The 12,505-nt window shown below is 34.1% G+C and overlaps 1 protein-coding gene across 8 annotated transcripts in view; it reads right to left on the minus strand.

The window, feature by feature from the left end:
- NOX4 (NADPH oxidase 4) overlaps positions 1–12,505 on the minus strand; it is a 265,205-nt gene that overhangs the window by 72,855 nt on the left and 179,845 nt on the right. For all 8 annotated transcript variants that reach the window (NM_001143837.2, NM_001300995.1, NM_001291926.2 and 5 more), the window contains 3 exon segments: positions 5,119–5,335; positions 3,008–3,172; positions 2,810–2,872 (listed from right to left, as the gene is read on the minus strand). In NM_001143837.2, coding sequence (NP_001137309.2) covers positions 2,810–2,872; positions 3,008–3,172; positions 5,119–5,335 — 445 coding nt within the window.

Raw genomic sequence — 12,505 nt, forward strand, 5'->3', positions numbered from 1 at the left:
CTGAATGACTACTGGGTAAATAATGAAATGAAGGCAGAAATAAAGATGTTCTTTGAAACCAATGAGAACAAAGACACAATATACCAGAATCTCTGGGACACATTTAAAGCAGTGTGTAGAGAGAACTTTATAGCACTAAATGCCCACAAGAGAAAGGAGGAAAGGTCTAAAATTGGCACCCTAATATCACAATTAAATGAACTAGAGAAGCAAGAGCAAACGAATACAAAAGCTAGCAGAAGGCAAGAAATAACTAAGATCAGAGCTGAACTGAAGCAGAGAGAGACACAAAAAACACTTCAAAAAATCAATGAATGCAGAAGCTGGTTTTTTGAAAAGATCAACAAAATTGATAGACTGCTAGCAAGAATAATGAAGAAAAGAGAGAAGAATCAAATAGATGTAATAAAAATAATAAAAGGGATATGACCACTGATCCCACAGAAATACAAACTACCATCAAAGAATGCTATAAACACCTCTACACAAATAAACTAGAAAATCTAGAAGAAATAGATAAATTCCTCGACACATACACCCTCCCGAGACTAAACCAGGAAGAAGTTGAATCCCTGAAAAGACCAATAACAGGCTCTGAAATTGAGGCAGTAATTAACAGCTTCCCAACCAAAAAAAAGTCTAGGATCAGACAGATTCACAGCCAAATTCTACCAGAGGTACAAAGAGGAGCTGGTACCATTCCTTCTGAAACTATTCCAATCAATAGAAAAAGAGGGAATCCTCCCTAACTCATTTTATGAGGCCAGCACCATCCTGATACCAAAGCCCGGTAGAGACACAACAAATAAAGAGAATTGTAGACCAATATCCCTGATGAACATTGATGCAAATATCCTCAATAAAATACTGGCAAACCGAATCCAACAGCACATCAAAAAACTTATCCACCGAGATCAAGTTGGCTTAATCCCTGGGATGCAAGGCTGGTTCAACATATGCAAATCAACAAATGTAATCCATCACATAAACAGAACCAAAGACAAAAACCACTTGATTATCTCAATAGATGCAGAAAAGGCCTTCAACAAAATTCAGCAGCCCTTCATGCTAAAAATTCTCAATAAACTAGATATTGATGGAACGTATCTCAAAATAATAAGAGCTATTTATAACAAACCCACAGCCAATATCATACTGAATGGGCAAAAACTGGAAGCATTCCCTTTGAAAACTGGCACAAGACAGTGATGCCCTCTCTCACCGCTCCTATTCACCATAGTGTTGGAAGTTCTGGCCAGGGCAATCTGAAGTAAATTTCTTATGAACTCAGGATTAGGCAAAACTTCTTAAGTTATTTAAGTAAAGACAAACTTACTTGTGTATTTTCTCCCTTTTCAATTATTCCCTTCTATTTTCATGTTACCAATTTCATGTATATGGGATGTATAGATGCAGACAGATGGGAACATGTTTTACAACATGCTTTACAACATGTTCCCATCTGTCTGCATGTATACATACCATATATATAAAATAGTTTTGCTATCTTTCTTAAGTATACATTTAAACATGTGGTCTCTGTTCTCAATTATCTTTCTTAGAAAATGAATAAAGTCCAAATATCCAACTTCAATGAGAATATTAAATAAATTACAGTACTTTCCTACTGTGAAATATTATATGGTCATTAACATGAATGAGGCACATACAGTAATATGGAAAGATGTCCATCACATGTAGTTGAGTGAAAGGAGCCAGTTACAAAACAATATGATCCAGCAAATAAATGTTAGAAACTCATGTATGCAGAAGCATATGGGAAAATATCTGGAAAGACATATGTCAAACAGTAGAGAAAAGGATTGGAAAGTGGGGAAAAATTTTTTTAAGTTTGTATTTTATTTTATATCTGTGAATTGTCTAAATGTTTATAATGAACTCATGCTATTTTTATAATTATAATAATATTAAATGATATGCTGACTAGCTAATCATATTTGATGGTGTCCATTATTTAGCTAGATGCCCTCCCATGCCATTATTTACTCCATTTGATTTTTCTAATTTTATTTCCATTCTCTCTCCCATTACACTGGATTTTACCTTTTCTAAACACTGCCTGTTTTGTTTAATGTTTCCACCTCAACCCAGAGTATCCGTATTTCCCCTAAATTCCATCTCCAAAGAAAATTGTGCATATATAAGATTTCCATATACATTAAAATACTCCATAAAAGGAGAAAAGTAAATATTCAAGAAATTAAATATATATATATATATATATATATATATATATATATATATTTGTTTTTTGAGACAAGGTCTCACTCTCTTGCTCAGGCTGGAGAGCAGTGGTGGGATCAAGGCTCAATGAAACTTCAAACACTGGGGCTCAAGCAATCCTCCTGCCTCAGCCTTCCTAGTAGCTGGGACTACAGATGTGTACCACCACATCTGGCTTTTTTTTTTTATTTACTGTAGAAACAGTGTCTCCTTATGTTTCTCAGGCTGATCTTGAAATCCGGGGCTCAAGTGGTCTTCCTACCTTGACCTCCAAAAGTGCTGGGATTACAGGCCTGAGTCACTGTGCTTGGCCTATATTTTGAATCAACAAGCTTTAATACGTTTTAATTCATTACTTCCTGAATTGCAAGGTGTCAAAAAATAATAAAGTGTAGTTACACAGTTCTTGAGCAGATAACTATTTTCCTTGTAAAAAGATAGCTTACTTAAACATCAAGAGTACTATGATAGCCTTGAATACCTTTTAGAATGAGACAGGACACAAAAAAAGAAAAATATGCATAGCACCCTACAAATGTGAAAAAGCAAGAGATATGTTTCTTACCATTGTGAGGGTAAATGGATGATTTTCTAATGCAGATACACTGGGACAATGTAGAGTAATATACTAAAAAGCAACAAACAGATAAGTTTTAAATGACCAATTAAGAATTTCAACTATTTCAATGATGCTATGTTTGCTAAATTCCAAAAATTACATAAGGATAAAGGCTATTTAAAAAGTTGCTGACCACTGACTCACCTGACCAGGTCTTGCTTTAAAATTTTCTTTGACCATTCGGATTTCCATGACATCTGAGGGATGACTCATGACCGAAATGATGGTGACTGGCTTATTGCTCCGGATATACCTGTAAAGTCTTTCGGCACAGTACAGGCACAAAGGTCCAGAAATCCAAAGCCAAGTCTAAGACAAATTTTTGAAAATATACTTCAAGAAATACTCATATTGTAGAAATCTACACCCTGCCCAATTGCTTATTGCATACATTACAGTAATAGTATTTTAATTTGTATTTTAAATAAGAAAACATAACAAATGAGTAAAAAATAATAGATGCTCACTATCATTCAAACAAACAAAAGTATAAAATAAAACAGAAAGTAATATCAAGACCCTACCCTCAATCTCATGCCCTGGGTGTAACTATCCATGAGCAAACAAGTATATATTCTTTCATACACCTTTCTATGCCTACAGATATGTAATGTATATACACAATATATTTAATAAAAGAATAAAGGGGAGTTAACAATCTCCGATAAATCTGGGGATAATTTTAGAAATAAGGTAACAGTCTAATGTTTATTAAATAAGAAAACCCTAGATTTTTAATGTACATAATGTATATGCATAATATACATACATATAATATGTATATATATATATGTTAAATATGTATAGCACATATGTTTAAAGATGCAATATGCTAGGCATGTTGTTTACCACTTACTTTTATATAATATAATAAGAACATAAAATAATATTTATAATTTGGAAACCATGACAGTTTTGAATATGTGTTGCATGGTTAGCCCTGATCCCAGGACACATGCAAACTTTGGGAAGTGCAGAAGCCTATGTGGCTTACTGTTCTCCTAAAATTACACACTTTATCTTTCACATCCCTTTGAGGCCTCCAACTAAAACTTGTCTTAATGGTCACTTTTTAAAGCCTCACTTTAGTTGTTTCAAATCTTCCTTCTTTCATGCAGACAGACCATGCCTCTTCTGCATATAATAACATTTAGCCCCACACTGTGTTATGAGTAGCACTACAAGACAAGGTCTGCAATGTAGCAGCCTTGCACCTTTGAGACAATCACTTACTCTTTGAGTGTCAGGTCCCACATGAGCAAAATGGGAGTCGCCATACCTGCCCTAATATTTGTGAATATTATGTGAAACTCAGAAAAGTTCTGAAAATTATAGAGGCTAATAGGGATCTAGAGGATTATTATTAATAATAATAAACACGACTAATACACTATTCCAAAGTCATCTACAAATTCATTCTAGCTTTTGACTTCTCTTTCTTCTCTTCCAATAGAGACATTTGACATCACTATTTCCTACTTCCACTTTTTATAGGTGAGGAATAAAAGGTGTAATTTGCACGGGGGCAGTTCTCACAGGCACAGAGGAAGATAAGGGCCCTTATTGAACTAATCGCTGAATACTTATGGACGTTTACCAGGAGCAAGCATATTAGTCAAAGACCTGGGTTTACATGCTTCCTCTGCCACTTACTGGTTTGGAGATTTTGATCAAGGTAAGTACAATTTCTTTATCAGAAAATCGAGGGTGATATTAATTACTTCAAATAGTCATTGCGAATATTGCAAGAAACATTCTGTATGTCTAATAAGTGTTCTGTATTAGGCATACAGGACATTTTAGCACAATGCCTGGCAGATAATATTAAGCATTCAATAAATTGATTTTGCTATTTACTATTTACAATATTATACATAATAATATAATACAATAAAATAATAATTTGTGGTATTGGTGGTAGGTTTTTTTAACTACTATTTTTATTATTCAATCAGCTTTTCTCAAATGATGGGAAAAAATATTTGTCATCTCTTGGCTGCAAGCACCAATGCTGTTGTATGCAAAGGTCATATGGTCAGTTAAGTAGAAATGTTATATATCCTCTAATATCATAGACCTTTTGCATTGAACTCTCAGGTACCTGTAATGGAATAATAGGTACTAACTTACTGTTGAAACATCCTGAAATATCCTATTATGCATGAATATATAGCTTGAAAAACACATTTATATGTGATGTTGATCAGTCAAATGGAAACAAACTTTGTGGAGATCAAACACAAAATTAATCTGACCTGTGGAAAATTAGCTTGGAATCTGGGCTCTTCCATACAAATCTTCACAAATTTGTGCTGGGTAAACTCTGCCGGTTTTGAAAATCCTTCAGGGAAAGGTTCATGAAAATGTTCTGAGAAATACTCTGGTAAGGAAATATTCTGAGAGCTGGTTCGGTTAAGACTGATGCAGCCGGGAGGGTGGGTATCTAAATTAGTTTGATACTTCAGCAGCCCTCTAAAATTACATTTAAAACAAACAAACAGAGAAATGAAAAGATTTGAGATCAGGGGACACGGTAAAAGAAAATAATGTTTTTGTTTTTGTTTTTGTTTGCTAACTTTACACAGCATTTATCCAAAAAGTGTTCCTTATGTATTATGTTTAGGAGAAATTGAAAAATCTTAAAAAATTTTGAGAAATTCTTATCTATAGAACTAAAACAAAAATTTTGGCACTCCAAACAAATGCTATAAATATGTGGTAGAGAAGAATACATGCAATCTCTCCAGGCATTATTGAATTTGATGGCCTTTACTTCAAGACTATTAGGCATTCATACAATCACATACAAGTTTTCACTTCAATAAACAGTATAATGAGGAATATTTTGCTAGATATCCAAACATAAGGGAAAAATACAGGGAATATATTTAACTTGGCCAAGCCTGGATAAAACAAGCCTTGCTGATTTGCAGAGAAATGTTAAACAGAAATAACTGGAACTGGAAGTTTGTCTCTCCTATGGTCTGAAAACAATGTATATACAGCAATCAGTCCCTAAATCTGTTTACTTTTCAATTTCTCCATAGACAGAACCACATAAAAAGTTCAAAATAATAAATCAGGCAGGAGAGCCCACACCATAAAAATCTCATTCTGATTATTTCTTATTTTGTGAGAAACCAAGACAAACCATTCAACTTTCTGTGTCCTGCCTTTCTTGTCAAGAAGTGGTTAACATCTACCTAGTAGGGATAATCCATAAAATGACAGATTGTACATAGCATCAACAAGGTCACTGCTGCATAAGCAAGTATTGCATGACAAAGTAAGATTTGGAAATGCTTGAAAATTTTGCAGTATATTTTATTATTTTAAAGAATACTAAGGAAAAATTTATTTCCAAGATTATCTGTTTTTGGTTGGTTTACAGTACATGCTTTTTAAATTATCTTTCATGCTCTCAAATACTTAATTTTAGTAGTTTAATTGCCTGAGGTCAGGAGTTCGAGACCAGCCTGACCAACAGGGAGAAGCCCCGTCTCTACTAAAAAACATACAAAATTAGCCAGGTGTGGTGGTGCATGCCTGTAATCCCAGCTACTTGGGAGGCTGAGGCAGGAGAATTGCTTGAACCCGGGAGGCGGAGGTTGCGGTGACCCTGAGATCACACCATTGCACTCCAGCCTGGACAATAAGAGCGAAACTCCGTCTCAAAAATAAATAAATAACAGCTATGATGCTTTTACAAAAATAATATTTTTAAACAAAACTGTATAATGATACTAAGAGATCCATATATGAAGGTTAGGAAAGCAATGACCAGGCCAGTCTCTGGTTGTATTCACCATCTCCTCATCCTGATCACTTTCCTTTCTTCCCTCTTTGCTTATGCTCACTTCCTTTTTTAAATTTTATTTTCTTCCTTAAAACTAGTCATCATGAAGTCATTAGGGAGCATTCAGTACATGTCAGGGGCATGCATTACATGACATCATAGTAGACCACACACAAACATACATTTTTTTTAAAGTAATACAGTAGATATAGCCTATGTATGAGATAAATTGATAAATATTATACAAAATTGAGCCAAATTTTTGTCACTAATCATTTATAAGTTTCTAGTCACCCAATACAATTGCTGGGATATTATACTTAGACAACCTAGGAATTTGATTCAGCTTTCTTTACATTAATAATTTACCCAAACCTTTTGCTCCTATTGGCCATCGGAAGGATAGTGACTGATAGCTAAGTAGGTAGAAAACCCCAAGCATTTATTCTACTGGCCAAAAGTTGAACAGACATGAGCATAATGCACTTAGCACTACTCCAATGGTTCTTCAGACTTCAACAGAGTCAAATCCGCCTCCTAACACTCCAGAAACTCATGATCTAGTTTGGAAGATATCTTCAAAGAAGCTGAACATAAATCAGACTACAGATAGTAACTGGGGTAGTGTTTTAATAATAGCTTAGTAATGTATGGAAAACACCAGGTCTAGCCCAGGGAAATGTATATGCATTTTACATTATCCTCACAAAAACTGCATGAACTAGGATCATTATTCCCATTTTAAAATTTAAAAACAAAAATATTTTAAAAGATGAAATAATACCCCAGTGTCACACAGTTGATAAGTAGCAGGGCCAAGATTTGAATTCAGATCTGATTCAAATTCTATGCTCTTCACCTCTCATGATATATCACATTAGTTCACTGAATCCTCACAACATAACTCTGAGAAATGTAAGGAAGGGGGAAGATTAATGCTTGCTAAGAAAGTATCATATCAGTAATTTTTAGAACATCTATTTCTCATTTAAACTTCAAAACAAAATAATCATACAAGGTAAGTGTTTTTATTTATATTACACAGATGAGAAACCTAAGGCTTTCATTCAGGTAAGAGATTAACTAAGTATAGTCAAAGCATAGGGTTCAGAAACCTACCTAGCTCACTCTATGCCCCTATGTCACGCAAAGCAAATCAGATGGTTAAATAGGTAGGCATTGTAAAAGGGGTTCAAAATAAACAAAAGTCAGATTGTGTGTGTGTGTGTGTGTGTGTGTGTGTGTGTGTTGGAATGGGGCTGCTTATAATTTAGGGTCTTAATACCAGGCAAATAAATGTCGTTAATCCCTTCTCCTGTCATAACATTCAAGTGGACATAACTCTACCATGCTCTAGGTCCTTAGAGTAGTGAATGTTGTTACTATACAGTAAAGTTCTTCAGGCCAGCCCAATCAAACATTTGTGCTGTTCTTGGCACATAAAGTGGCACGTATTATTCTAAAATTCCTTTTAATTTTGAGAGCTTTGTATTATGTTCAGCTACACTCAAGCTAAATAGCATAGGCCATCTCTGTCCTAAAACCCCATTAAAACTGTCCTTACTTTGTCTTCTTTTTTTACTTTCAGATTTCAAGCTTTATTTCAAGACTATAGTAATAAAAACAATATGGTATATGCCTAAAAACACAAAAAACAAACAGAATAGAGAGCTCAGATTACTTTGTCTTAGTTGTAACTCTTGCCACCAAAGAAATATGGATAAGATCTAAAGACAGACAATGATAAAATCATTCATCAAAAAAAAAAAAACTCAAGTATGACATCCCAGGTCATTTGGCTGTAATTAGGTGGTGAAGGTACTGAAAGTTCACTGGAAGGCAGGTTTTTAACTCAGTATTGAAAGGCCACCTACTGGTTAAAAAAGAAAAAAAAAAAAAAACTTGCATGGTAAAGATTAGTGGCCTTAGATTGGGAGTACTTAAGTATCTCCCAACACAATAATGTCAGTCTGCAGAGCTGGGACTGAAAGCCCAGTTAGTCTGATTCCAAAGTCTGTGCTCCTTCCTCTGTACCAGGCCTATTCCCCTTGCAAAATATCCACACTACTTTATGGACAATCTTTAAATTGAAGACCAATGTATACATTGAGCAAAATTTGATGGCTTTATATGGCTATAGACTTAGAAACGGAGGGAGCATGTTTTATCAAACCAATACTTTTATGTGTTATTTTTCAAGCTCAATTGAATGCAATAACTTACTTTTTCATTGTATGAGTAAAGAGTAAAAGTGCTCATTTCTTTGGTATTAGTGCAGAATTTCTTAGAATTCTTATATTTGAAGGCCATTATAACAATCTTTTTCTAAAGAATATTGAAAAGGAATGTAGACTAGATATTAAGGATATTTGGATTGATAGACAAAATCTGATATTATCTCCCTAATCCATTTACTTCACTGTGGCCACATTTATTAAAATTTGAGGCACATGTTCTATATGATTTTTATGGTGTTTTAAATTCCTGGTACCTTTATTTATTTTAGATGCATGCCTTTCTTTAAAGTAGAATGAAATCTTCTCAAATGTAACAGAACCCACTTAAGATAACACAAAGCTCTGTGTCTATTTGCCAAACAATACTGCCCCTGCTTCTTGCCCCACACCGCCACTGTGATATACCTCATTTAGACATATTATTTTATTAATTTTGGAATCTTATTAGTTTCAATATTATGGTCACTGCCTTCAAAGGCATGCACAGTCTAGAGCAGCACTGTCCAATAGAGCTTTCTGTGATAGTGGAAATGGTCTAAGTCTCTGATGACCAACATAGTAACTATTAGAGAAAAGTGGCTATTGAGCAATTAAATTTGGCTAGTACAGGTGAAGAACTGAATTCTTAATACTATTTCACTTTAATTTAAATTGAATAGCCACAGCACAGATATAATGGGTCAAATCAAACATAGAACCAAAAATGATAATTAAAAAGGGCAAAATTATTAATGCCATATAAACATATGATAACCTCTTGAGAGTAGAGATGGGTAATGAACTTTGATTATAAAATTCCAGAAAGGCTTCACAGAGAAGAAGGCAGCTGAAGGATGTAGAGATTCCAGGGGTTAGAGAATAGGAGAATGGCATTCCAATATGAGGAAGCCATATGCACAAAGGTACTTGGTTTATTCCTGAATAAGTAGAAGGGATCATGTCTTATGCATTTATCCCTTATACATTCATACTCACTGCCAAACCTCTGCATCCCTCTAATACTTTTCTTGCACATAATAGATCTCTAATGCATTTCTAGTGAATTGATTTTAAAAGCAAACAATAAACACATAATTTGTTTTAATATAGCAAATCATGTAGGAATCAAAAAGACAGCATTCTTGTATGTATTGTTGTAGCTTTCATAAACAAATGCTAAATAATTTTAAAGCAAAAAACAAGAAGGGAAAAAGACATTAGTGAATGGTAAACAGAGAGTCTTGCCAAGTTATAATGACATGGTGAGGGATGAGGAAAGGAGGTGCACAGACTATGTGGAAATATAAGTGTTTATTATTAATGTTTTAAGTTTCATTATATGATGTTCCAAGGAGAAATTTTGAAGTATCTGTGGAATGTCTAGTGTTCTCCTATCATGAGAAATAAAGGATTTTATGGAGTTTCAAAATTGTTTCTGCATTCAAAAGGATCTTAACATGTGCTATCAAACTTTCAACCATGTTTCAAAGTTGTAGGTTTCTTTTTTTTCCCTTGTTTCCCTCAAGAGGCATTATAATTATACTATCTTGGTGTTTTTGTTGTTTGTTTTGCTTTCTGTTTGTTTCTTTCTTTTTAATACCCGGCTGTGACAAAGTCTTATAAAATAATATAATACATTAAATGAATCCTACTAAGTAATAACAGGATTTTATGGTAATCAAAACATGATTTTATGGCAAAAGATAAATATTACAAAATACCACACCTGACAAAAGGACAATGCCAGAATCATCCCTACTTTAATTTCATGTTAAAAATATCCCACAAATGAGTGTCACTTATGTGACCTTTATATTTGTGGTATTTTAATCTATCTTGAAGGAGGAGAAAAAAATTCTTATCCCTTAGGAACCTACTTTTTTTCCTAATATTTTATAATATGATTTTTTTTCTTTATGGTAAAAATATATCTTGATTCTGACAGTTATTTTTATTTTGCTTCAAGTACAAAGAAAAAGAGTTTAATTCAAACAATAAAACCAAATTGTGTATTTTAAAATTTATTGCAGTTCTCTAACTTCTGTAGAATCCACCAGAATGTGCACTTCTTAAAGTCAAGGGTTTATCCTGCTCCACTGCTATTTTTCTACTGCCTAAAATAGTGCTTATGACTTATAATAAGTGCTCAATAAATATTCATTGATTAACTTAGTGACCAGAAGTATATAAACAACTTTTGTTGTGATTGTTGTTGAAACACTTGACTGGGGAGTCATCTGGTTTTAACAGATATTCGACCTCATTTTCAACCTTCAAAAAGGAGGTCTATATTTTAGCAAATGGCATGTAGTAACATGACAGTTATTAAGTAACAGACAGTAACATTAAGTAACAGACAGTTATCAAGAGAGTAAAGTCTACTTGCTAGGTGCATTTAGAAGTAGAGTGCTTTCCTAAACTACAGATCCAGTGTGCCTCAGGAAATCCTAAGTATCTGGGTACCCACCCTACCAAAGCTTTTACTCCCACCCCTACTTTGTTTTTCTGGCCTAACAGAGTTCTTGCCTCTGCATTCTTTCCTGGCTCTTGCCTTTGATAGCTAAGAGTACTGTCATCTGCAGCTTAACCACAGCAGGAATTGTGTCTAGCTCTTACTGGTGGGGTGGTCCAAGCTTACAAGATAGGAATAACATCATGTGTTTGTAATCTGTGCAGGTGCACCGGACCTTGCTCTTTAGAAAGACCCTGCTATTGGTTTACTGCTCTGTTGTCATTATCTCCAAACGCTTAATAATTTTTTGATCAAAGAATCCCACATTTCATTTTGCAGTGGGCCCTGCAAATTAGGTAGCTGATTCTGCCACAATCTCTGTGCAGCTGACTAATGTATAGCCTAGGGTCTTAAGGGCTTAGGATCAACATTTACAACTTCCTTGAGTACCTGAAGTAAAATAGGTCATTTCCCTAAGTTTCCTTAACTGAAAAAGAGAAATAGTACCTGTTCCTCTGTACTTCACGGGTATAAAAAGGGAAGAGCTTTGACCCCTTGCAAAGAAAAAAAAAGGTAAGCATCCATTACTTCTTAGTATTTCCTCAGCTTTCATGCTTCACTAAAATGACAGTGGAGGATAAAATATTTATTTCATGTTTCAGAAAGTACTATACTGAAAATGTTTCTTAAATAAATACAGTGCTTTTTCCTCCTCCTTTCCCCCAACTTTCTCATCTTGTAATACCAGCTGTGAACACTGGCTAATATAAAAAAGTTCCCTGCAGAAAAACTGAGATAAAAATTATGTGAAAAAGTATTTGGTCTATCTCCAAAACTGGGGAAAAAATAAACTCGCAGTTTGGAAGTTTAAGAAAATCCATTAATATATACAACTTACAGCATAAATGACTTCATGTACATAAAAATGTTCTGTATATACTATATGTATATAAGCAGACATATATACATACAAGCTATAGAAATGTAAGGCATCGTTAATGGGGTAAATATCACATGACCTCAATCCCTACTGCCAACTGGCTTACAGCATAAAATATCAACAAATGTGAATAAACCATAAGATCTTAGTCCATAATTACTATAGAGAAATACTACTTTTTACATAAAATTTAAAAATCCAATGAATAAAAAGTTGGAAGTTGGCAAACAAAATTGGA

Source organism: Homo sapiens, chromosome 11 (genome assembly GCF_000001405.40).
Source record: "Homo sapiens chromosome 11, GRCh38.p14 Primary Assembly".
NCBI lineage: Eukaryota > Metazoa > Chordata > Mammalia > Primates > Hominidae > Homo > Homo sapiens.